This window comes from Homo sapiens, chromosome 1 (assembly GCF_000001405.40).
Source record: "Homo sapiens chromosome 1, GRCh38.p14 Primary Assembly".
Classification (NCBI taxonomy): Eukaryota; Metazoa; Chordata; class Mammalia; order Primates; family Hominidae; genus Homo; species Homo sapiens.
In genome coordinates this window covers 216,469,538-216,497,379 of record NC_000001.11, presented here as the reverse complement: position 1 = coordinate 216,497,379, position 27,842 = coordinate 216,469,538, and the positions used below count along the sequence as shown (strand labels likewise).

The 27,842-nt window shown below is 38.4% G+C and overlaps 1 long non-coding RNA gene across 1 annotated transcript, besides 1 other annotated feature; it reads left to right on the top strand.

The window, feature by feature from the left end:
- The first annotated feature begins 1,202 nt into the window (after window positions 1-1,202).
- On the top strand, window positions 1,203-26,824 carry LOC107985596 (uncharacterized). The gene is made up of 3 exons (XR_001737763.1): window positions 1,203-1,454; window positions 23,483-23,612; window positions 26,718-26,824. It is a non-coding gene; the product is annotated as an uncharacterized LOC107985596 (long non-coding RNA).
- Window positions 10,892-11,454: an enhancer, noted in NCBI's record as "OCT4-NANOG-H3K27ac-H3K4me1 hESC enhancer chr1:216659268-216659830 (GRCh37/hg19 assembly coordinates)". NCBI's record gives its function as "activates a minimal SCP1, AML or CMV promoter by ChIP-STARR-seq in primed H9 embryonic stem cells {active_cell/tissue: H9 hESC(primed)}" and the evidence as "EXISTENCE:reporter gene assay evidence [ECO:0000049][PMID:30033119]".
- Window positions 26,825-27,842: the final 1,018 nt, after the last annotated feature.

The window sequence follows — 27,842 nt, the reverse complement described above, 5'->3', positions numbered from 1 at the left end:
TATAAGATTCTATTTATATCAGAATCTCTTTTTTCCACATCGATTTGTGATGTCACTTTGATATCATACAAAACTACCCTAGGTAAAGAAGTTTATTTTGTTTTTTTTTATTCTGTTCTTTGGACAATTTATATGTTACTGCCATAATACCATATTATTTTATTACCATAGTGTTATAATTCATCTAAATATCTGATAGAGTGTATCCTGCACCCATGCCCACAAAACATAAGACAACACACTTTGTCTTATGTTTCAAATTCCTAGTTACTTGGGAAATTTTATTCTTCCGCTTGAAATTCAAAATCTTATTTTGAATTCTAAAACTGATCCTTCTATAAATATTATTAGATTTTTTAATGTAGAAATGAATTTGGAGAAAATTAACATTTTTGTGATTCAAATTCAATGAATGTTTATCTCTCCATTTATTCTTGTATATTTAATTTCTTTAATAGAGATATTTTTAAATTGTATCACCATAAAGTCTTTCTTTAACCAATTCCTAGATACTTCATAAATTTGTAGCTTTTGCAAATTACAAGTTATTTTATATGTTAGTGTATTGTTTTGTTGTGTTTTTGAACAGAGAAATGCTATTTCATTTTGTATGTTGATCTTGTACTTAGAAACTTTGTTGAATTTCCTTATAATCATTTGTTTATACTCCTGGATTTTCTAAGTAAATAATCTATATTCCCTCTAATTCAGCTTGCAAACTGACCAGTTTACTTCTGAGTATATCTCTTTCTCCATATTATAAATCCATTTATCTTATTATAGGCAGTTAGAGCAATCAACTCATGCATTTATCATTTTGACTATAAGCCATCTTTCCTAAGTCCATAAATGTGTTAGATTCATTTTTTTATTCCATGTTACTGCAGCCAAAACTGTTACAAATGAGTTGCTAGAATGTAGCATAGATTGCCTTCCCCACCCCCTCCCCCACCTTCGATAACATTCTTTTTCAGCTCTCCATAGATGTGTCCCCCCGCTGCCTTTGTCCCAAACCTACTTCCAGATATTTTAATTTTATGTTATGGCAGCAGCTCAACTTCTGATTTTTCTATCAGTCAGTTTTCGCTGCATAACAACCACAAGATCTCAGTGAGTTATAAAAATAAAGCACTTAATTCTTTGAGGTGGTTGTTATGGCTAGACAGGGCTTGACTGAGTGTCTCTGCTTCACCCTGCAGGTCTGGATGGCTGAGGTCTTCTCCACTTATCTCTCTCTGGGGTCCAGACTGCTGAGGTGGCAGCTACTCAGAAGACAGTTTTATCAGGATGATTGCAGAGGTACAAGAAAGCAAGTCTCAAGGCATAAATACATTTCAAGCCCATTGCTTGTCTCTTGTCTACCCACCTGCCATTGGCCAAAGTCAGTCGTGTAGCCAAGTCCAAAGCAGTTTTGTGGGATGAACTGCACATTTACATGGCAGATATACAGGAAAGTAAGTAAATAGAAACAATAATTCAATATATCACAATTGCTTTGATAATTTCTATTCAATTTCCATTTTTTAAATGAATGTGTTCAAAGCTATACATTTCCCTTTAGATACTGCTTTAGCAGTAGTCCACGAAATTTGACATGCAGTGCTTTTGCTGGCATTTAGTTCTAAGGATTCCACAATATTTCTTATGATGTTCTCTTTAATTGAGGACTTTTTAGCAACTTGAGGTATGTGTATATGTGTATATTCTCAGAGATGTATTCTAAAATATTTGTTATTAATGATGTAAAATTACATGTTGTTTATTTTCAGACAATGTAGCCTGTATGTGATTGAGTCATGTAATTTTTTAAACATTTCCTTTGCGGTTGAGTGTCTACCCAATTTTTGAGAAAGTTCCACTTGACCTTAAAAAAACGTGAATATTCTGAGTGGTAGGTGAAATACCTACTTTTAACACATTGTTAATGTTATTTAAATATTTCCCAACTGCTTACTTTTTGTCCAGTTGCTATTAGTTTCTAAGAGAAATGTCTCAATCCCTAATTACAACTATTGGTTTATTTCTGTCAGTTGATGCTTTGCGTATTTGGGGGTTGTGTTATCAATGACATGTGTGATCATTGTCATCGTGACATTTTAATATATCATTGTCTTCAAGAGTACATAATATCCCCTTTAAAACATTTTTAAACATAGCAAAGTGCATAAAACATAGACATTTGTTAATGAATTCTCATAAAGTTAACACTCATGACAGCATCATCCAAGTCAATAACTGAAACGTTGTAAGCTTCAAAAGCATATCTATTCCCCTTCCGCAAAACAAAGGTAACTGTGACCCATTTTTCCTTCTAAATACGCATCCAAAACATCATAGTAGAAGTTTGTCTGCTTTTGACACCTCTATAATTTGAAATATACAGTGTATAATATTTTGAGACTGGCTTATTTAAATCAATATTACCTTTGAGAAATTCACATGCTGTGCAGTCATTTGCTTATCTCCATTGCTGTATTCTACTGTTTGTTTCACCAAATGATGGAATTTGGTTTGTATAGAATTTTTGCTCTTACAAATAATGCTTCTGTGAATTTACTTGTTCACACATAGCACATGGCCGAAATGTACATGCATTTGTTAATACATTCCTAAGAGTAGTATTGCTGTGTCATAAGGTCTATATAGCTTTCAACTTCAGCAGATAATCCTAAACTGTTTTCTGAAGTGGTTGTACCAGTATACTTTTCTAACAAGAGTGTGGGAGAGTTTTTTAAAAGTTTGAACTTTATTGCATATTTTAAAATTTTAATTATTCTGATGACTGTGTAGTGGTATTTCATAAAAGTGTTCATTTTCATTTTCCTGAGGACTAATAATATTGAACACTCTTTTATACATGTATTAGCCATTTGGATATCTTTTTTATGAAGTTTCTGTTTAAGTAAATAATTGCCCTTTCAAATTTCTGGTGGTCTGTACTTATTGATTTGTAGATGTTTTTAATTTATTCTGGGTATGATCCAGTTATAAGAAAATAACTTCTGTAACTGTCTTGAATTTTTACTCTCTTAATGGTCTCTTTTAATGAAGTTCTTAATTTTAACATGATCCAGGTTATCAGTCATTTTCTCTGTAGTTTGTGCTTTAATTCTGTTTGAGAAATACTTCCCTTCTTTGAGGTTAAAAATACTGTCAAGGCTGGGCAGTGGCTCCGCCTGTTATCCCAGCACTTTGGGAGGCCAAGGTGGGTGGATCACGAGGTCAGACGATTGAGACCCTCCTGGCCAACATGGTGAAACCCCACCTCTACTAAAAATACAAATTTAGCCAGATGTGGTGGCACATGCCCATAGTCCCAGCTATTCGGAAGGCTGAAGCAGGGGAGTCACTTGAACCCAGGAGGCAGAGGTTGCAGTGAGCCCAGATGGCGGCACTGCACTCCGGCCTGGCGACAGAGGGAGACTCCGTCCCCAAAAAAACCAAACAAACAAAAAACTGTAAATCATTATTTTCTAAAGGTTTCATTGTTTTACTTTTCTCTTTTAAAAATTCAAATGAGCTGAAATTCACTCTTGCGTGTGATATACAATGGAGGTTAAGTATTATATCTCTTTGTTTTTCTATACAGACATCCAGTTGTCTAAAACACCCTTTGTTGAAAAGACTGACCTTTCTCTGAAGCTTGAAAGTGTTGCCTTTGCAATATATGGGTCTTTTTCTGGCTCTCCTTTTCTGTTCTATTCGTTCAACAATCTTTGTATCAATGCTACACATTCTTAACTACTTCCTAAAATACTTATAAGGCTTGATATCTGACAGAGCAGTTGCACTTTACTGTTGTCTTTCCCCTAAGTATCTTGGCTTTAGCATTTCTATAGAAAATATAGAATCATCTTATCAATTACACACACACACACACAGACACACACCTGTTAATATTTTAATTAAGATAGCATTGATTCTATAGATCAATGTGTAGATTTACATCTGTGTTACATTGAGACTTCCTATTAATGAGCATGTTATCTCCCACACTTTATTTAGGTCTTCTTGAAATTTTTGATGCTTTTATAAAATAGCATCTTAAAATTATTTTGAGTTTTTACAACATACCATAAATATAAGTAATTTGCTGCTATTATAAAGGGAAACTATCTTTAGCTAATTTTAAATTTTTCATGTTCTGCTTTTTGCTGATATATAGAATTAAAATTGATTTTATATGTTGATTTTTGCATCCACCAACTTGGATAAACTTGCCTATTAATTCTAATAATTTATCTGTGGGTTCTTTGGAAATTTTTTACACACACAAACATATTATTCACACATAATTATTGCTTTATTTCTTCCCTCTCAACTCTTTAACTTTTGGTTCTTATTTTTGTATTATTGCACTGGTAAAGACCACTAGCTCATGTTGAAAAGAAGTGGTGACAAGGCTGGGCATGGTGGCTCACTCCTGTAATCCAAGCACTTTGGGAGGCCGAGACAGGTGGATAATGAGGTCAAGAGATCGAGACCATCCTGGCCAACATAGTGAAACCCCGTCTCTACTAAAACTACCAAAATTAGCTGGGTGTGGTGGCATGTGCCTGTAGTCCCAGCTACTTGGGAGGCTGAGGCAGGAGAATCGTTCGAACCCATGAGGGGGAGGTTGCAGTGAGCCGAGATTGCGCCATTTCACTCCAGCCTGATGACAGAGTGAGACTCCATCTCAAAAAAAAAAAAAAAAAAAAAGTGGTGACAAGAGGTAACTTTGCCTTATTTACCCAAAAGAAAATGCTTTTAGTTTTTACCATTACATTTGATATAAAGTTCTTTATACACATCATTTAATAGACTAAGGATTTTCTCTTATTTTCCACTGATTTCTAAGAATTTTTGTATTGGCATGGACTTTGAATTTTTTGTTGTTGTTGTTGAGACAGAGTTTCACTCTTGTAGCCCAGGCTGGAGTGCAGTGGCACCATCTCGGCTCATTGCAACCTCCTCCTCCCAAGGTTCAAGTGATTCTCTTGCCTCAGCCTCCTGAGAAGCAGAGATTACAGGTGCCACTACCACGCGCAGCTAATTTTTGTATTTTTAGTAGAGACAGGGTTTCACCATGTTGGCCAGGCTGGTCTTGAACTCCTGACCTCAGGTGATCCGCCTGCCTCAGCCTTCCAATGTGCTGGGATTATAGGCGTGAGTGACTGCACCCAGCCAGACTTCGAATTTTATTAAAAATAGTTTTCTTGCATCTATTGAGCTATTCTCTTATTTTTCTTCTTTTATCTGGTAATGTGACAACTTACTTTGATTGTTATTTTAAAGTAGAATTGATTTTGCATTCTTAAAAAAAAATCTAATTTTAACATGGTGTATTAATCTCTTTATATATTGCCGGATTTGGCTTGCTTTTTATTTTTTAAAAGATTTTTTCTATCTCTGTTTATAGATAAGAAAATACTACAATTTTCTCTTTTTATAAGATGATTTCAGGCTTTGATATTTGTAAAGTTATTACAAAACAATTTGGGAGAGCAGTATCTCTAACTTTTTTCTTTGAATCAATTCATAGGAGATGGTGTTCTTTGGTAAATATGTGGTAAAATTTGTCAGGGAAGTGGTGTGGGCCTGATATTTTCTCTAGATAAAGATACTGATTTAATATTATATTTTTGAAACAATTATAACACAATTCAAATTGTGCATCTCTTGATTTTTTTAACAAAACAAGCCAATTAAAATATGCATTACCTCACATACTTATGTGTGTGTGTGGTGAGAATCCTTAAAGTTTATTCTCATAGCAGTTTTCTTTTTTTTTTTATTATTATACTTTAAGTTTTAGGGTACATGTGCACATTGTGCAGGTTAGTTACATATGTATACATGTGCCATGCTGGTGCGCTGCACCCACTAACTCGTCATCTAGCATTAGGTATATCTCCCGATGCTATCCCTCCCCCCTCCCCCCACCCCACAACAGTCCCCAGAGTGTGATATTCCCTTTCCTGTGTCCATGTGATCTCATTGTTCAATTCCCAGCTATGATGAGAATATGTGGTGTTTGGTTTTTTGTTCTTGCGATAGTTTACTGAGAATGATGATTTCCAATTTCATCCATGTCCCTACAAAGGACATGAACTCATCATTTCTTATGGCTGCATAATATTCCATGGTGTATATGTGCCACATTTTCTTAATCCAGTCTATCATTGTTGGACATTTGGGTTGGTTCCAAGTCTTTGCTATTGTGAATAATGCTGCAATAAACATACGTGTGCATGTGTCTTTATAGCAGCATGATTTATAGTCCTTTGGGTATATACCCAGTAATGGGATGGCTGGGTCAAATGGTATTTCCAGTTCTAGATCCCTGAGGAATCGCCACACTGACTTCCACAATGGTTGAACTAGTTTACAGTCCCACCAACAGTGTAAAAGTGTTCCTATTTCTCCACATCCTCTCCAGCACCTGTTGTTTCCTGACTTTTTAATGATTGCCATTCTAACTGGTGTGAGATGGTATCTCATTGTGGTTTTGATTTGCATTTCTCTGATGCCCAGTGATGATGAGCATTTTTTCATGTGTTTTTTGGCTGCATAAATGTCTTCTTTTGAGAAGTGTCTGTTCATCTCCTTCTCCCACTTTTTGATGGGGCTGCTTGTTTTTTTCTTGTAAATTTGTTTGACTTCCTTGTAGATTCTGGATATTAGCCCTTTGTCAGATGAGTAGGTTGTGAAAATTTTCTCCCATTTTGTAGGTTGCCTGTTCACTCTGATGGTAGTTTCTTTTGCTGTGCAGAAGCTCTTTAGTTTAATTAGATCCCATTTGTCAATTTTGTCTTCTGTTGCCATTGCTTTTGGTGTTTTAGACATGAAGTCCTTGCCCATGCCTATGTCCTGAATGGTAATGCCTAGGTTTTCTTCTAGGGTTTTTATGGTTTTAGGTCTAACGTTTAAGTCTTTAATCCATCTTGAATTGATTTTTGTATAAGGTGTAAGGAAGGGATCCAGTTTCAGCTTTCTACATATGGCTAGCCAGTTTTCCCAGCACCATTTATTAAATAGGGACTCCTTTCCCCATTGCTTGTTTTTCTCAGGTTTGTCAAAGATCAGATAGTTGTAGATATGCGGCGTTATTTCTGAGGGCTCTGTTCTGTTCCATTGATCTATATCTCTGTTTTGGTACCAGTACCATGGTGTTTTGGTTACTGTAGCCTTGTAGTATAGTTTGAAGTCAGGTAGTGTGATGCCTCCAGCTTTGTTCTTTTGGATTAGGAGTGACTTGGCGATGCAGGCTCTTTTTTGGTTCCATATGAACTTTAAAGTAGTTTTTTTCAATTCTGTGAAGAAAGTCATTGGTAGCTTGATGGGGATGGCATTGAATCTGTAAATTACCTTGGGCAGTATGGCCATTTTCACGATATTGATTCTTCCTACCCATGAGCTTGGAATGTTCTTCCATTTGTTTGTATCCTCTTTTATTTCCTTGAGCAGTGGTTTGTAGTTCCCCTTGAGGAGGTCCTTCTCATCCCTTGTAAGTTGGATTCCTAGGTATTTTATTCTCTTTGAAGCAATTGTGAATGGGAGTTCACTCATGATTTGGCTCTCTGTTTGTCTGTTGTTGGTGTATAAGAATGCTTGTGATTTTTGTACATTGATTTTGTATCCTGAGACTTTGCTGAAGTTGCTTATCAGCTTAAGGAGATTTTGGGCTGAGACAATGGGGTTTTCTAGATATACAATCATGTCGTCTGCAAACAGGGACAATTTGACTTCCTCTTTTCCTAATTGAATACTCTTTATTTCCTTCTCCTGCCTAATTGCCCTGGCCAGAACTTCCAACACTATGTTGAATAGGAGTGGTGAGAGAGGGCATCCCTGTCTTATGCCAGTTTTCAAAGGGAATGCTTCCAGTTTTTGCCCATTCAGTATGATATTGGCTGTGGGTTTGTCATAGATAGCTCTTATTATTTTGAAATACATCCCATGAATACCTAATTTATTGAGAGTTTATAGCATGAAGCGTTGTTGAATTTTGTCAAAGGCTTTTTCTGCATCTGTTGAGATAATCATGTGGTTTTTGTCTTTGGCTCTGTTTATATGCTGGATTACATTTATTGATTTGTGTATATTGAACCAGCCTTGCATCCCAGGGATGAAGCCCACTTGATCATGGTGGATAAGCTTTTTGATGTGCTGCTGGATTCGTTTTGCCAGTATTTTATTGAGGATTTTTGCATCAATGTTCATCAAGGATATTGGTCTAAAATTCTCTTTTTTTGTTGTGTCTCTGCCTGGCTTTGGTATCAGAATGATGCTGGCCTCATAAAATGAGTTAGGGAGGATTCCCTCTTTTTCTATTGATTGGAATAGTTTCAGAAGGAATGGTACCAGTTCCTCCTTGTACCTCTGGTAGAATTCGGCTGTGAAGCCATCTGGTCCTGGACTCTTTTTGGTTGGTAAGATATTGATTATTGCCATAATTTCAGCTCCTGCTATTGGTCTATTCAGAGATTCAACTTCTTCCTGGTTTAGTCTTGGGAGAGTGTATGTGTCCAGGAATTTATCCATTTCTTCTAGATTTTCTAGTTTATTTGCGTAGAGGTGTTTGTAGTATTCTTTGATGGTAGTTTGTATTTCTGTGGGATCGATGGCGATATCCCCTTTATCATTTTTTAATGTGTCTATTTGATTCTTCTCTCTTTTTTTCTTTATTAGTCTTGCTAGTGGTCTATCAATTTTGTTGATCCTTTCAAAAAACCAGCTCCTGGATTCATTAATTTTTTGAAGGGTTTTTTGTGTCTCTATTTCCTTCAGTTCTGCTCTGATTTTAGTTATTTCTTGCCTTCTGCTAGCTTTTGAACGTGTTTGCTCTTGCTTTTCTAGTTCTTTTAATTGTGATGTTAGGGTGTCAATTTTGGATCTTTCCTGCTTTCTCTTGTGGGCATTTAGTGCTATAAATTTCCCTCTACACACTGCTTTGAATGCGTCCCAGAGATTCTGGTATGTTGTGTCTTTGTTCTCATTGGTTTCAAAGAACATCTTTATTTCTGCCTTCATTTCGTTATGTACCCAGTAGTCATTCAGGAGCAGGTTGTTCAGTTTCCATGTAGTTGAGCAGTTTTGAGTGAGATTCTTAATCCTGAGTTCTAGTTTGATTGTACTGTGGTCTAAGAGATAGTTTGTTATAATTTCTGTTCTTTTACATTTGCTGAGGAGAGCTTTACTTCCCAATATGTGGTCAATTTTGGAATAGGTGTGGTGTGGTGCTGAAAAAAATGTATATTCTGTTGATTTGGGGTGGAGAGTTCTGTAGATGTCTATTAGGTCCGCTTGGTGCAGAGCTGAGTTCAATTCCCGGTTATCCTTGTTGACTTTCTGTCTCGTTGATCTGTCTAATGTTGACAGTGGGGTGTTAAAGTCTCCCATTATTAATGTGTGGGAGTCTAAGTCTCTTTGTAGGTCACTCAGGACTTGCTTTATAAATCTTGGTGCTCCTGTATTGGGTGCATATATATTTAGGATAGTTAGCTCTTCTTGTTGAATTGATCCCTTTACCATTATGTAATGGCCTTCTTTGTCTCTTTTGATCTTTGTTGGTTTAAAGTCTGTTTTATCAGAGACTAGGATTGCAACCCCTGCCTTTTTTTTGTTTTCCATTGGCTTGGTAGATATTCCTCCATCCTTTCATTTTAAGCCTATGTGTGTCTCTGCACGTGAGATGGGTTTCCTGAATACAGCACACTGATGGGTCTTGGCTCTTTATCCAATTTGCCAGTCTGTGTCTTTTAATTGGAGCATTTAGTCCATTGGTTATTTTGCTTATTAGTTGATGCAGTTTCTTCCTAGTCTCGATGGTCTTTACATTTTGGCATGATTTTGCAGCGGCTGGTACCGGTTGTTCCTTTGCACGTTTAGTGCTTCCTTCAGGAGCTCTTGTAAGGCAGGCCTGGTGGTGACAAAATCTCTCAGCATTTCCTTGTCTGTAAAGTATTTTATTTCTCCTTCACTTATGAAGCTTAGTTTGGCTGGATATGAAATTCTGGGTTGAAAATTCTTTTCTTTAAGAATGTTGAATATTGGCCCCCACTCTCTTCTGGCTTGTAGGATTTCTGCCGAGAGATCCGCTGTTAGTCTGATGGGCTTCCCTTTGAGGGTAACCCGACCTTTCTTTCTGGCTGCCTTTAACATTTTTTCCTTCATTTCAGCTTTGGTGAATCTGATAATTATGTGTCTTGGAGTTGCTCTTCTCGAGGAGTATCTTTGTGGCGTTCTCTGTATTTCCTGAATCTGAACGTTGTCCTGCCTTGCTAGATTGGGGAAGTTCTCCTGGATAATATCCTGCAGAGTGTTTTCCAACTTGGTTCCGTTCTCCCCATCACTTTCAGGTACACCAATCAGACGTAGATTTGGTCTTTTCACATAGTCCCATATTTCTTGGAGGCTTTGCTCATTTCTTTTTATTCTTTTTTTTCTAAACTTCCCTTCTCGCTTCATTTCATTCATTTCATCTTCCATTGCTGATACCCTTTCTTCCAGTTGATCGCATCGGCTCCTGAGGCTTCTGCATTCTTCACATAGTTCTCGAGCCTTGGTTTTCAGCTCCATCAGCTCCTTTAAGCACTTCTCTGTATTGGTTATTCTAGTTATACATTCTTCTAAATTTTTTTCAAAGTTTTCAACTTCTTTGCCTTTGGTTTGAATGTCCTCCTGTAGCTCAGAGTAATTTGATCGTCTGAAGCCTTCTTCTCTCAGCTCGTCAAAGTCATTCTCCATCCAGCTTTGTTCCATTGCTGGTGAGGAACTGCGTTCCTTTGGAGGAGGAGAGGCACTCTGCTTTTTAGAGTTTCCAGTTTTTCTGTTCTGTTTTTTCCCCATCTTTGTGGTTTTATCTACTTTTGGTCTTTGATGGTGGTGATGTACAGATGGGTTTTTGGTGTGGAAGTCCTTTCTGTTTGTTAGTTTTCCTTCTAACTGAGAGGACCCTCAGCTGCAGGTCTGTTGGAATACCCTGCCGTGTGAGGTGTCAGTGTGCCCCTGCTGGGGGGTGCCTCCCAGTTAGGCTGCTCAGGGGTCAGGGGTCAGGGACCCACTTGAGGAGGCAGTCTGCCCGTTCTCAGATCTCCAGCTGCCTGCTGGGAGAACCACTGCTCTCTTCAAAGCTGTCAGACAGGGACATTTAAGTCTGCAGAGGTTACTGCTGTCTTTTTGTTTGTCTGTGCCCTGCCCCCAGAGGTGGAGCCTACAGAGGCAGGCAGGCCTTCTTGAGCTGTGGTGGGCTCCACCCAGTTCGAGCTTCCCGGCTGCTTTGTTTACCTAATCAAGCCTGGGCAATGGCGGGCGCCCCTCCCCCAGCCTCGCTGCCGCTTTGCAGTTTGATCTCAGACTGCTGTGCTAGCAATCAGCGAGACTCCGTGAGCGTAGGACCCTCCGAGCCAGGTGCAGGATATAATCTCGTGGTGCGCCATGTTTTAAGTCCATGGGAAAAGCACAGTATTCGGGTGGGAGTGACCCGATTTTCCAGGTGCCGTCCGTCACCCCTTTCTTTGATTAGGAAAGGGAACTCCCTGACCCCTTGTGCTTCCCAAGTGAGGCAATGCCTCGCCCTGCTTCGGCTCGCGCACGGTGCGTGCACCCACTGACCTGCACCCACTGTCTGGCACTCCCTAGTGAGATGAACCCGGTACCTCAGATGGAAATACAGAAATCACCCGTCTTCTGCGTCGCTCATGCTGAGAGCTGTAGACCAGAGCTGTTCCTATTTGGCCATCTTGGCTCCAGCAGTTTTCAAGAATACAACACGTTGTAATTAGCTATGGTCACCATGTTGCACAATAGATCTCTTGAACTTATTTCTTCAGCCTAACTGAAATTTTGTAGCCTGTGACCAACCTCCTTCCACATTTCCCTTCCAGCCCAGGTAACCACTATTCTACTCTCTAATTCCAAGTTCAACTTTTGAAGATGCTACATGTAGGTGAGATCATGTGGTATTTGTCTTTTTGTGCCTGGCTTATTTTACTTAACATAATGTCCTTCAGCTTCAAGTATGTTGTCCAAAATGACAGGATGTGCTTCATTTTTTAAGGCTGAATAATATTCTACTGTGTAGATATACTAAGTTTTCTTTATCCATTCGTCCATTGATGAACACTTTGGTTGATTCTATATCTTGGATATTGTGAATAATGATGCAATAATCATGCAGGTGCAGATATCTCTTTGACATACTGATATCATTTCTTTTGTATATATACCTGGTAGTGGCATTGCTGGATCATATGGAAGTTCTATATTTAATCTTTTTAGTAACTCCCATAATGTTTGTACTAATTTATATTCCCACCAACATTGTGCAAAGGTTCCTTTGTCTCTACATCCTCTCCAACATTTGTTATCTTTTGTCTTTTCGAATAGTAGCCATTTTTAACTGGTGTGAATTGACATATTGTGGTTTTAATTTGCATCTCTGACAATTAGTGATTTTGAGCATTTTTTCACATATTTGTATATCTTCTTTTGAAAAATGTCTATTCAGATCCTTTGCCTTTTTTTAGTGAAAATACAGAGAATTATCACAAAGTGAAAAGTACACACTCCAGAAAGGGGAGTAAGGGGATTTGGGGTTTCTATCGTTATGGGTTTGTTTAACCAAGGAGTGGAATATCCATGAAGATTCCTGGAGAAAGTGGAGATTTCTCAGAACTGTGGTGCCATCTGTTTTTACACCAAATATGGATGCTCCCAGAACTGATATGGCACTGGTGGGTCTGTAATTTAGTACGCTAATAAGCACATAATGAGGTTATAGGTGAAACCTAGGTCAAATCCATCACCATGTTGGGTTCAGTCTGTCTTAGCCAGCTTGGTCCACACCCCGGTTTTCAGGGTCTTATCGGCCCCTTGCTTATGCAACTGCTTTAAGTTTCCTTTTGCTAGTCATGTGCAACTGCTACCTGGCATTTTCTATTCTCCTGCAACCACCCTGTATTATTCCTATCTCATTTTCCTCCCTCAGAGATTTCCATTCCTTATTCTTAATGGTTGAAGAGGGAGGAGGTCAGTCTTCTGTATCTTCTTCCTGTTGATTAGGGCTGTTGGTCCTCCTAGTGAGGACATGGAATTTTCTGGTTGCCTAGTTTAAAAGTCCCATGGGTGGGTCATTAGGAGAGTGAATCTGAGGCAGATATTGGTTGGCACGCTTGCATGACCAATATTTTGACATGAAACTGTTGCAACCTAGAAGACACAAACTTTACAAGGAGGTTAAACAAGCAAGGACCAAAGGTTAATAGTAATAATATAGCTGTTAAAGGTCACAGGAAAGGTAGGAACCATGTCACATTTGGTAGCCATTATTTGATGGAATCCCAGATGGTTTGAGTGGTGGGGTTATTGAAATTATGTAGCCAGGTAGCCTGCTGTTAAATCTTTTGAACTTGAAGTTTAACCAATCATTAATTATTAATATAAGAACAACTGGTGTGGTTTATTATTGCATAAACCTCTCTTTGTTCAGCTAGAAGCTAAAGTCTCCTGTTCTTTCCCTGACCATTTCAGTGGTTCATGCTCTGACCATGTTAGGATCTCATACAATGGATTAGCAATGAGCCCAAATCCTAGGATCCAAATCCTGCAAAATCCTGCCCTAACCAGAAAAGTTCTGAGTTTCTTCTTCATTTGTGGAGGTAGCCTTTTCTGTTGTTGTTCAATGGACAAGGTATGATTACCTGGACTTAGAAGGTACCCCAGATATTTTAGTTACAGTTTAGACATCTAGACCTTGGATGGAGAGACTTGATACCCTCTTTTTCCCAGGAAGTTTAGGACTTGAGTGGCATTCTTATCTGAGTCCTCTTTAATGAGACTGCATTATAGGGATGTCATTCACGTATTGCAGTATGGCCCCCCTTTCTAGCTATATCTACCTTATTTCTTGTGCCAAGGCATTTCTGAACAAGTGAGGGCTATCCCTAAAGCCCAGTGGCAGTACTGTCCAGGTATACTGCTGGGTAATATAGTTCCAGGATTAGTCTGCTTAAAAGCAAACAAATATTAAGGGTCAGGGTGCAAAGGGATACAAAATGAAAGCATCCTTGAGATCTAGTATCATGAACCAACTGTTGTCTCCCAGTATTTGGGCAAGTATGGCGTAAGTATTTGGCACTATAGGATGTAAGGGAATTAATGCCTCATTAATGGCTCATAAGTCTTGAACTAGACAATATTCCCCATTTGGATTTTGGATAGGGAGGACAGGAGTATTACAAGGAGAGTGACATGGAACCAGGAGGCTATGTTTTAAAAACTTCTCAATTAGAGAGTGTAGACCATGCTTGACTTCTGGTTTGAGAGGATATTGATGCTTGTGTGGGAAATTATTTTTGTCTTTTAAAGAGGCAATCACTGGCTGTGAGTGTATTGCTTTGTCAGAGGTTTCCTGGTCTCACACTTGAGGGTCTACCTGAGACGTTATTTTGAGGGAGATTTCCTGTTTTTCTGAGGTTGACTTAGAAAAAAGAAGCATTGCTAATAAGGGAGGGCTCCCAAAGGCCTGATAAATGTAAAATGACTCAGAGGGTGGCTAGGAAGTTCCATCCCAATAAAAGAGGAAGACACTGGCATAACTAGAAACTCGTGAATGACCACATAGTTTTCTAACCTGCAGCTCAGGGGTAAAGTAAAGCATTCCTGGGGGTGCCATTGACACCTGTGACGGTGCAGCTTTTGGAGGGATAAAGGCCCAGAGTGGCTGTTTAAGACAGAGTAACCAGCCCCTAGGTCAATTAAGAAATTAATATTCTTACCTACCAGGTCAAGAGTGACCCGAGGCTCCTCAGTTGTGATGACCATGCCTTTTATGGGAGCTAACAGGAACCTCAGGCCCCTTCAGTCCTCAGTTTTGGCCATTATAGCATCAGGTGTCCTCCTCTCCCTTTGGAGCTGAGAGCAATCCCTTTTCCAATAGCCCTCCTGGCTTGCAGTGAGGACAGGGTCCAGGTGGGCTCCCCTGGCTGGGACAGTTCTTGCTTCAATGTCCTGGCTTCCCGCACTTGAAGTAGCAACTGCAGGTTTGCTGGAAGCATCCTCCTGGGTGGCCCTGAGGTTGCAGGGCACTGCTTACAGCAACTGCTATCATTTGGGCTGGCTGTCTAGCCCGTTGTTTGATACACTGGGTCAATCTTTCAGGCTCTTCAACCCTGTCCCTATTATTGAATATCCCAAAAGCCACATCAAACATTTGATGAATAGGCGTTTGGGGTCCCAAAGCCAATTTCTGTCATTTTCTCCTAATGTTGGGTGCTGACTGGCTACTAAAGTGTTTCCCTAGTAAAATTTGGCCAGTACCAATACTGAGGTCGATGTTAGTATATTTTCCTAGGGTCACTACAAGACATCCCTGGAACAAAGCTGGGTTTTCATCCTTTCCTTATTTCTCTTATTTTATCACAGTTTACAGGCTTAGTGGTACATTTTTCCATTCCCGTCCCTAAACAAGCCACCATACGGTTCCTGATTCTTAGATAAGCCTAGCACTATTGGTAGCTCCAGATTGGGTCATTGTTAGGCACAGACGTGGCCCCTGCAGTGTATTTTTTCAGAAACCCCTGCTGACAAGCTGCCAGCATAAGCCGGGGCCTCTACCCAAATACGCTGCTTTGCTTCATGGGTACAAGACATGGACAAGATAATATGAATATCTCCCCAAGTTAACTCAAATGAGAGTGAGGGCCCAAAATTCCTCCATGAATTTAGTTGGGTTATCTGAAAACCGGCCCAGCCTCTGTCTGCATTGTGCTAGATCAGACATTGAAAAAGGCACATATACCTAGATGGCCAGCATTCCCATTGGCCACCTCCCTAAATGGGCGTAACTTAGAATAATCAGGAAGGTAGAAAATGCCAATGCTGGTGACCCTGGCAGGGCTCTGTTCCTTTGGTAGGGAAGGGCATATGGGTTGGTAAGGAGGTGGAATAGCAGGAGTCTGGGGGCTGAAGACGGTGGAACTAGCAGAAGACTGGGGACTCAAAGGTGGAGTTCGGTAAGAAGGAGGAGCTGGGGGTGCAGGAACTGGGTCTGGATTAGAAAGTGTGAGAAGGCTCTCGGGAGGTACATTTTTCAAAGGGGATCATCTAGGATATCTAGTTCCCCATTTAGTTCCCCTAAAGGCGGTATGAGCATAACAAAGGTGGCAATTTCCGTGACAGTCAAAGCTCTGATGATGAGTCATGAAGGTCTGTACATATGATATTTCAGTCCATTTCTCCCAACGTTTTTAAAAAGATCTAATTGCAAGATGGTATTAAAAATTAAGGGTCCTGTTATCTGGCCATTGCACCCCATTTTCTAAATTACAGTTACCCATACCCTTGACTTGTCCTTGGCATGACCAAATGCTGATGGTACTAAAATGGGAGTGATGATGCTCCTGGCTGGTTCACCATGAAGATAATGCTGGTGGATTTGTGGGGGGTGGTCCCCAAATGTGGGTGGGACCTTGACCCCAGCCAGTATCCAGGCTTTTGATAACTTCTGAAGAAAGAATTCAAGAATGAGTCAGAAAATAGTGAAAGTATGGAGATTTATTACAAAGTGAAAAGTACACGCTCAAGAAAGGGGAATGTGTGTGTGTGTGTGTGTACTCAAGAGAAAGAGTCATTCCTTTGCCCATTTTTAAATTGAGTTATTTGTTTTCTTCCTATTGAGTTTTTTGGGTTCCTTATATATTTTAGATACTAACCGCTAATGAGATATACAGTTTGCAAATATTTTCTCTCTTCCTATAGATCTCTTCACTCTGTTGATTGTTTCATTGGCTGTGCAGAAGCTTTTTAGTTTCATGTAATCCCGTTAGTCTATTTTTGCTTTTGTTCTCTCTGCTTTTGGGTTGATATCCAAAAAAATCACTGCCGATATGAACCTCATGGAGTTTTTCACCTAGGTTTTCTTCTTGTAGTTTTACAGCTTCAGGTCTTAGTTTAAAGACTTTAATCCATTTTGAGTTGATCTTTGTATATGGTGTAAGGTAAGGGTTTAACTTCATTCCTCTGCATGTGGATATCTACTGAACTCAACACAATTTATTGAAGAGACTCTCCTTTGCCAATTGTGTATTCTTGGTGTCTTTGTCAAAAATCAATTGACCTTATTTACATGTATTTGTTTCTGGGTTCTTTATTCCTTTCCATTGGTCTATGTGCCAGTACCATGCTGTTTTTTTTTTTTTTGCCAGTACCATGCTGTTTTTGATTACCTTAGTTATTTAGTATATTTTACGGTCAGGTAGTGTGATGCCTTTGACTTAGCTATTTTTGCTCAAGATTGCTTTGGCTATTCAGGGTCTTTTGTGGTTCCATACAAATTTTAGGATTTTTTTTTTGAAAAATATCATTGGTATTTTGATAGGGATTACACTGACTGTGTAGATTATTTGGGGTAGTATGAACATTTAAAACATATTAATTCTTCCAATCCAAGAACAAATATATCTTTCCATCTTCTTCAGTTTATTTCATCAAAGTGTTATGGTTTTCAGTGTGTAGGTCTTTCACCTCCTTGGTTAAATGTATTTGAAGTATGTTTTTCCATGGAATTGTTTTCCTGGTTTTTTTTTTTTTTTTTTTTTTTTTGAGACAGGTTCTCACTCTGTCACACAAGCTGAAGTACAGTGGCATGATCACAGCTCACTGCAGCCTCGGCCTTCTGGGCTCAATTGATCCTCCCACGTCGGCCTCCTGTGTAGCTGGATTAGAGGCACGTGCCACCTTGCCCCACTAATTTTTATATTTTTTGTAGAGATGGGGTCTTGCTATGTTGCCCAGGCTGGTCTCAAAATCCTGGGCTCAAGTGATCAGCCCAACTCAGCTTCCCAAAGAACTGGGATTACAAGCATGAGCCACCATGCCTGGTTTGATATCTTTTGTGGATAGTTAGTGGTTAGTATATAGAAATGCTACTGATTTTTGTATGTTTATTTTATATCCTGCAACTTTACTAATTCATGTATTAGTCCTAATAGTTTTTAGTGGAGTCTTTAGGGTTTTCTATATGTAAGATCATGCCATCTACAAATAGGAACAATTTGACTTCTTCTTTCCAATTTGGATGCCTATTATTTCTTGTACTTGCTGAATTGTAACTTCTAACACCATGTTGAACAGAAGTGTCAAGAGTGGACATTCTTGTTATGTTCCTGATCTCAGAGAAAAAAACTCCACTTTTCACCATGGGGTATGATGTTAGCTGTGGGTTTGTCATATGTGGCCTTTATTGTGTTGCAGTATATTCCTTCCATAAGTAATTTGTTTTATAGTTTTTAGTCACGAAAGGATGGTAAATTTTATCAAATGCATTTGTTCCTCTACTGAGAGGATCATACGTTTTTGTCCTTCATTCTGTTAATGTAGTTTATCACATTTACACATTTGTGTACATTGAACTACCCTCACATCCCTGGGATAAATCCCACTCGATGGTCGTGAATGATCCTTGCAATGTGTTGTTGAATTCTGTTTTTCAGTATTTTGTCGAGAATTCTTACATGTATGTTCATCAGGGATATTGGCTTGTAATTTTCTTGTAAGGTTCATGTCTGGCTTTGGTATCAGGGTATTTTATCTATTATTATATCATATTCATTAGTTGATATTTTTGTAAGAATTTGTCTGTTTTATCTATGTTTTCAAACTTATTGGCATAAAATTGTTCATCGTTTTCTCTAGTTAATGTCTTAGTGACTTCAGGATCTATAGTAGAGTGGTTATTTTAGTTTTCTGTGGCTGCTGAAACAAATCACCACAAACTTGGTAGCTTAAAACAACAGGAGTTTATTTTCTTACAGTGATGGAGGCCGGAAGTCTGAAATAACCTTCACCAGTTTAAAATCAAACTGTTGACAATACTGTGTTCTCTCCAGAGGATCTAGAGCAGGGGTCCCCTACCCCTAGGCCATGGGCCAGTAGCGGTCAATGTCCTGTTAGGAACTGGGCCGCACGGAAGTGAGCGGTGGGCGAGCGAGCATTACCGCCTGAGCTCCATCTCCTGTCACATCATAGGAGAATGAACCCTATTGTGAATTGCACATGCAGTGATCTAGATTGCATGCTCCTTATGAGAATCTAAGGTGGAACAGTTTCATTCCCAAACCATCACCCACCCCCCTGCCCAACACATCCATAGAAAAATTGTCTTCCACAAAACCAATCCCTGGTGCCAAAAAGGTTGGGGGCCACTGCTCTAGAGAATCATCCACAACTTGTTTTTTCCTAATTACGGTGGCAGCCAGCATCCCTTGCATTGTGGCCGTATTAATTCAATCTTCAAGGCCAGTATCTTCAAATTTCTCTCTGCTCCATCTTCACATGGCTTCACCTTTGTGCATGTGTGATATCTCCCTCTGCCTCCTTCTTATAAAGATATTTATGATATCTTAGCACTTAGGCACTAGGCTAGTCTAATATAACCTTCCCAACTCAAAATTCTTAATTTAATCACATCTGCAAAGATCCTTTTCCCAATTAAAGTTACATTTTCAGATTCCCAGGACTAGGACCTCATGTCTTTGGGAGTGTAAAACAAACTAGACAGTGATGTTCCCGTTTTTATTTCTAATGTTTGTTATTTGTATACCCTCCTTTTATTTATTAATCAGTCTCCCCAAAGTTTATACATTTTAAAATTTTTCTCAAAGAACCAACCTGGATGTGTTCATTTCTCCTCTTTTATATGATTGCTGATAGGTTAATTTCTATTCTTCCTCTATCCTTCACTATTTGCTTTGATTATTTTGCTTTTGTAAAACTCCTTAAATTCAATGCTTCCTCATTAGTTTTTATCTTTGCCTCTTGTCTAATACACACTATGAAATTTCCTGGATGACAGCTTTGTCCCCGGTCTTCCTATTCCTTTTTCCTACCTTATTTTTCTCCGGAGCAGTCATCACCACTGACATTTCTATATAACATACCTTACTTAATTATTTTGCTTTTTGCTCACTTTTCTCCTAGAACATAAGCTCCATGAGCAGAGTTTTTGTCAATTTTTCTCATTCCTGTATATGACATGTACCTAGAACACTGTTTGTGACACAGACTGATGAAACATAGCTGGAAATTTCATCACGTACTGGGCACTGTGGTACCTGAGGAAGAATGGGAAGAAATGGGTACATTCCCTGAATTTATATGGTTCTGGGTTAGAAGGAGGCCAGGCTTTGAGTGAAAGATTAAAGTCGTAGTAAGTCCTTAAACAGAGGAAGTACTGCCCACTAAGGAGTATGAAATGAGAGCACTAATTCAGCCTTTGTAGATTGAAGAAGGCATCCCTGAATAAGAAATAGATGAACCAAGGATAACTAGCTGTTAGCTTCCCAGAAGAGAAAGTAGAAGAGAAGAGGAATAAATTGGTACAGAAGATCTTAAGCAAAGCTATCCACCAAATACATGCTGAACGATAACAATTAGAGGTCAATTGCTGATCTCCTAATTGTACCATATTTGATAGCATGGAATCCACTTGGGTGCCATGGGTGTTTGCCTTTCTGATTGGTTCTTTCAACTCCCAGTAACAGCGATGCTTTGCCAATGTAAGTGCCCAGGCTAAAATTATCATACACCTTTAATATATGTTCTAAGGGAAAGCATGAACATAAAGTAATAAATTAAATGTCCTATAAAGCAGTCCTAATTATGAATATATTGAGTAAATTCTGGCTATTCAGCCACAAAAGTTCTTATTTTTAATTTTTCAAGATTGCATTTTGTGCTTTCTTATACAAAATCTATATGGCATTTCTGTCCATAGAGCATTCCCTGGCCTGTGTCAGAGCTTGGTACCATCTGGACTTGCTACTGTTTTCCTTGTGCCAGATGCTTTTTATGGATGGGGAATTTGTTCTCATCCTTTTGCCCACAGCCCTCCCTTCAGTTTAAGAGTTACATTAAGTGAATTCAGATTAAAAAGTAGAGAAGAGATATTTTACTTGAAAGTAGTTCTGTCACTATCAAGCCTTCTGTATACATCCTGTAAACCTACCGAGTGGAATTGGAGAGGGATTTAATTGCTTAAATCAGACTAGCTTTAATAAAGTTATGTAGGAAGCAGTTTTCAAAATTTAATATCTTTGATTTCAAAGAGGCATAGCTGATATATAGATCTTTTCACATCAAATCTATACTTTTTTGGCCTTCATCAAAAGGAGGCAGGGCAAAAGTTTAATCACAGGAAGGAAGCATGGGGCCAATAAAAAGGAAAATTAATAAAAGGGGAAAAAGGAAATAATAAAATTTCAGTGAATCTTTCCAGGACCACTGTGGGATCTGTGTTATCTCCATTTTAGGGGTTAGAAAACAGAAAAAGAGACAGATCAGTCAGAAAGCAGGTTTAAGATTCTAAGATTGTTATCTGGGTCTGTATGACTCCACAGTTTGTGATTTATCCAACATCCCAAGTTGCCTATGAGAACAAATGAATGTCTGAATAAAGCAAGGTGAAGATAAGAGAAACTAGAAAAATGAGAAAGAAATCATTTGTTTCCTTCATATTAAGCTTTCATTCAACAGCTGCATGTAATGAAGTGGATTCCTGGCTATGATGTTACTCTTTGCTAGTTTTATTTGGGAACCAGTATTTTCTCTCCCTTTCCTTCCCTTTCCTCCCTCCCTCCCTCCCCCTCCCTCCCCCTCCCTCCCTCCCTCCCTCCCTCCCTTCCTTCCTTCCTTCCTTCCTTCCTTCCTTCCTTCCTTTCCTTCAGCCTCCCGAGTAGCTGGGATTACAGGCATATACCACCACACCTGGCTAATTTTTGTCTTTTTAGTGGAGACGGGGTTTCACATATTGGCAAGGCTGGTCTCGAACTCCTAGGCTCAATTGATACAACTGCCTTGGTCTCCCAAAATACTGGGATTACAGCTGTGACCCACCACACCTTGCCTAGAAACCAGTATTTAATTTCTGAGTATAATATTGACAGATATTGGAAATTCTTTTTACCTACTTTCTAAAAATTAGAACATCAGTAGAATTTTCTTTACACCAAATAACAACCTCGAATATTTGTGTCCATGGGATGTGAAGACACTTACATTGCAAAAAGTGAGTTGTGAAAAATAAGAGAAACAACACGACAGTCTACTATGTCAAGTTAGAGCAAGATAGAGGTTAAATGGGAGGAAGAATCATAACTCAAATTCTCCTCCATTTCTCTTTACTTCCCAGAAGTCAGAGACAAATGGCCCAGTGTGTTCTTGATCTAGTTCTGGAAGTTGGTCTTCTATAGACAAGAAATAATATAAAATGAAATGAAATAAAAGAGAATGTTTGGTGACTCTTCCACAGAGACCTGTTGGGTGATGAGTGAGTAAGTAGCTGTGTGAGCTTGGCCCTCCATGGATGTAGAGTCTAGGAAGGGAATCAAACACATCCATGTATTTGGAGCTATGAGAGCTCAAAAGAGAAGAATAACCTTTACCAGGGATGTTCAGGAAAGGTCTCAGTGAACATCCTTTGAGGTGACACCATAGTACAGAAAATCAAGGATCAGGATCAGGGAATAATCCCTTAATAAACCTTGTCTGAAAATTAGACATCAAATAGGGTAAATATACCTCGTTTGGAGTCTTCAAATTGTAAAAGTGACCTGAGAACACAGAATGTGTTAAGCAAGTCTTATATAAAGGATAGAATGATACATAGGAAACAGTTAAAAGAATTCATGTCATTAGACAATGGCTGGAGAAAATGACTTACCTTCAAATTCAGTGAGTTTTATCTGGAATGAGCATTGGGTAGCATCCCAGAATATGTGGAGTTTTTTTTCTTTATAATTATACCTGTGACTTTGTACAAGTCATGTCACTGTTTCAATACTTAGTTCCATCATCTATAAAACAAGGAAGTTGCATGCATTATATACATGGTCTCTCCCAGTTGTAAAATTGCATGATTCCAGATATGTAAAGGATGTATATATAAGAAAGTTGATGAGAATCCATTCCAAGTATTCAAAGAAGACAATCAGGAAAACCAATAGGTTTCAATAAAAGAAAAATAAATTACATAATTAAAAAATTAAGAATATTCTCATCTCCTTGGATTTTCATTAGGTCTCCTTAGATATACTATAAAATTATGACACGACCAGTAGCTAGAGAGAGTTTTAGCATAATAGCTACTACCATTTATGTACTTCTGAAGGGTCAGGTGCTATAATTAACACTTTTATTTAAATAACATATTTTATTTAATACTCAGTATCTATGAGGTAGGTTCTATTATTGCCACCACTTTGATAATGCAGAAACTGAAGCTTGCAAAGACGCAATAACTTCCCTTGGGTTACATATAAACTTAAGAGGCAGAGCTGGGATTAGACCTCTGTCTGTCCTATTGCAAAGCCCTTGCTCTTAGCTTTTATAACCTCCTATCTTAGACCAAGAATGGGCCCAATCAATTTGTAAGATCCCTTTTTTGATTTTGCAATCATGAAACAGCTGACAAAATTTGAGCACAACCTTTTTTGCCTTTCAGATGTTACTTATCATGGAACAAATATCTCGTGTTTACTGAAATAAAAGTTCTATTACATTGCTTCATGTCAGAGTATACAGAGGGTTTATGTGCTTCTCTGGGAAGAAAAGGAAATACAGCTGTTTTGCAGGTAATAACAGTTTATTTTATGTCCTATTTTCTTTAACAGTGATTGCTCTTACTTGGAAACTCTCCTGGCATTTTGTAGGCAATAAAGATGTAAGAAGAATGCTCTTTGCAGAGAGTTTCACAAGCCTTGCCCCTATTTTGTAATCTATGGCAGAAGGCATCTACAACCTGATTCCAGGGCGGCTTATCAATACTTCCAACAGACGCACAGGGACCAGGGCCACTCTACTGATGTGTTTCAGGTCAACTCTTCCATCATTGGAGCTACAGATACTCTTGTGAGAAAAGAAGCACCATGCCAGTTTGAGAAAATGCTAAGGAAAATATTTTTTACAAGGCAGAAACAGAAATGAAAACTTGACCATTGCAATGTAAAAATTTGTAATTTGATGTTAATAAGACTTAATTGCTCTCCAATTAAATATCCTCATCCAGGCCCAGGGCTAGGCTAGAGCATAATTATACAACAACTACATTTGATCCCTTGGAAGGTCTGTTTTTAGGTATTCTCCTTGTTTGTTCCTCCTCATTGTTTGCTTCTTCTCCCTTGATGTCTTAAAGGTCCTGTTCCAGGTGGTCCTAGAGGATGAGTCTTGTACTTGCAACCTTTTCTGCTTTCTAGTTGGATCTCATTGAGCCTGACTTGCTACTAAAAAATTAACCTGGATTAATGGACATGGGCATCACTACATTATATGACTTTTTAATTTTTGAAAAAATATAGTATCTATTTAAAAATCACTATTCTATAGTAAAATCATGCTAGGTGTACATATGGATGAGCTTGAGACTTCCAAAATTCCATTGAGAAGGATATTTATGGGAGCGGAATGGAGGCCTACAGAGGTGAAGGGATTTTCCCAAGGCCCTTCATTCAGAAATGAAGCAGGAGATGGTGGCAGCAAAACCTGTGCTTTCCCCACTCTCTTCCATTTCCTCCCCATGATATTTAATCATGGCTATTGGATATATTGGTAAAATTATAGGCTTCTCAGCCTTCAGGCAGACCAATGTGTAAGAGTGAGAAAGAGAAAGGATGCCTAGCAGGTCCGTCTCTCTTCAAGTGAGTTAGCTCAGGGATTTTCTATCCTCCTTGTTCATTCTTTCACTGGCTGCAATGACTAAATAGCATAAAAATAATAATAATACCCTATCACGCTCTCTTATAATTTTAGAATACTTCATTATATTGTTTCAGCTCTCTCCAGAATGGGACCTTGGTCCCAGTATTGTTTGTTTCTCTTAGTCACTCTTTGAAAGTTTGGAGTAGCAACAGCACATTCAGAACACCTTGAATTTATAGAACTTGGCACAGTGGAAATTAGGGTAATTTTATATTAATTATTATTATTTTATCCCACTGCTAGGGAATTTGAGGAAACATTTCACACATGTGAATAGTTGATGTTTGTTTGTTTTAATGGCAGTGGCTCTTCAGGAAGAAATCGATTAAGAAAATGTCATGACCTACTACAAGTTATTGCTATTGAGGTCAGAATGTTCATGAGGATCTGTCAAACAGTATTTTGCAGTTTTTAATGATGTTCTCAGGTAAATTGATGACTAAAGGATAGTGATAGTTTCTGGTTTGAGAACAGGACCTCCTAAGTGACCTCCTAAGCACACAGATTTCAGCATTTTAAAGATCAACTACTAGTTCAGATCACCAAGAGCAACACCCTGGAACACCTTCAGTCTACAAGCATCAGCAATGGGTACCGTAGTACCTTTTCACTGATTAGAACAAGGGCAGCAGAAAGTGCCCACAGGGAAAGTGTGCAGAAGTCCCAAATCATTACCGTGTGGTGAGCAGGAATCCGGCACCTGTGTGCAAGCCCAAGGCAGGCTTCAGAAACATTTGCCTAGATACAAGCTGCTGGGAGAAAAATACAATAACATTTAAGCATTTATTGGCTATAACATCCTGCTGGAGGCAAGCTGACCTTTTTTTATCTACTTTTGCACAAATGGAAAAAAAAAGATCTAAAAATATGGACAGCGGATGTTCAGTGGCAATGCTAGAAACCTGGTGTCTCATGTAAGAATTTCAGAATGGTATAGATGTCTTATTCTCAGAATATGAAAAATGTCAACATTGTTTACAACTTATCTAAGGAGGAGTCTCTCCCTTGCTCGGATATTTTGTTTCCAATAACTTTTTACATTTTCCCATATAGAAGGGTTGCTGGTATCATTAACCCTTAAGAAGTTAAATAGCCAAATCTTAATAAAGTGTCTTTGTAATATCAGCAATGTTACTTGAAATGCAGTGGTTTTTGTTTTTATTTTTTTAAGTCTTGAAGTTCCTGATATTATCCTGCAAATATAGCTCTTATACATTATCTTAATATTCCTAATACTAAAAAGTTATCCCATCCGGGCTAGATGGTTTTCCTGACACTCTTGACCACCAAGTCAAAAAGTCTTACCAGCATTGCTTGGGTAATAATCAGTATATATTTATAATAATAGATAAGTTAAAATACCTTAAGAAAAAGCCAATATCTAGGATGAATGCACGTCTTACATAGGTATACAATTTCATTTGTGATTAACATCATTCATTAATAAAACCACTTCACACAATCTTTGGGTCATAGTAGGACTTAATTATGGTATATGTAAGCTGAAGTGTATACAATTGATAATAACACAGAGTTTTTTTTAAAGGAAAAGCAGATACTACATAATAGTTTTAGCAAGTAGGTCAATTGCCCTGGCAGCCTCAATACAGCAGGGAAGACCTAGATATTAAAGGATGAAGACTGAATATACCCAATAAACTAATATGAAGTATATGTGCATATTTAGCTGAACTGACATGTATATGTGCCAGGTATTACATTTAGAGTGGAAAAATCATAGATAAAAATATAGCCCTATTTCCAAAGGTTTTGATGGGTACTTAGGCACAAGTGTAGAATTTACATTTCACATTTAGTTATATTGCATATTGCATATACACTGTATATAATTTTATATATACAGTTGTTCCTTGAACAACACGGGTTTTAACTGTACAGGTCCACTTATAAGTAGATTTTCTTCCTCCTCTGCCACCCCTGAGACAACAAGACTAACCTCGCCTCTTCCTTCTCCTCTTCAGCCCTACTCTATGTGAAAACAATGAGGATGAAGACCTTTATAATGATCCACTTCCACGTAGTGAGTAGTAAATATATTTTCACTTCCTTATGATTTCTTAATAACATTTTCCTTTCTCTAGCCTAGTTGATTGTAAGCATACAGTATATAATGCATATAATAAACAAAACATGTGTTAATAGACTGTTTCTATAATCAGTATGGCTGATTAGTAGTTTAAGTTTTGGAAAAGTCAAAATTGTATATGGATTTTTGATTGTGTAGGGGGTTGGCACCCCTAAACCCCTTGTTTTTCAAGGATTAACTGTAAGTGTAAAATTGTATGTGATGTCTACATCTATTGATCACCCAGAAACATCAGAGAATGGGAAGGGAAAAGGCGATTGACGATCTGCTAGGCAAATATCTGTTATGAGAAGTATTGTGATATTACTTAGCACATTTACGTACTATAATTCTGATGATAATCCTCATTCTACGAGGATACTGAAGTTGAGAAGAACAAAGCAATTTCTTTAAGGTTATGCCGCTAGTTAATAGAAGTTGTGTTGATATCTTTTGTATTGAACAAAGTATTTCTGGCTTCAAAGCCATTATCCCCAAATTTTACCTCATCCTCCCTTTCCTTCTATCCCTATTGCACCATGCTGTCTCAAATGATTCACACATTTTGAATTTATTTGTTTTGTTTTCCCTTGATAATGCATTTCAAATATCTTTTTGTTTGTTTGTTTGTTTGTTTTAGGTTTTTTTTTATTATTATACTTTAAGTTTTAGGGTTCATGTGCACATTGTGCAGATTAGTTACATATGTATACATGTGCCATGCTGGTGCGCTGCACCCACTAACTCGTCATCTAGCATTAGGTATATCTCCCGATGCTATCCCTCCCCGCTCCCCCAACCCCACAACAGTCCCCAGAGTGTGATATTCCCCTTCCTGTGTCCATGTGATCTCATTGTTCAATCCCACCTATCTTTATTGGCCCACAACACTTGATTTTGCTGAATGTGTGGGGACAAAAGAAGATGAGAGATAGCCCATCAGTGTCTGACTGTGCAAGGCTGAACTGCTGCTAAAAAATGGATAATTCATAAAAGAAATCGAAATTATTTTCTATTTAAA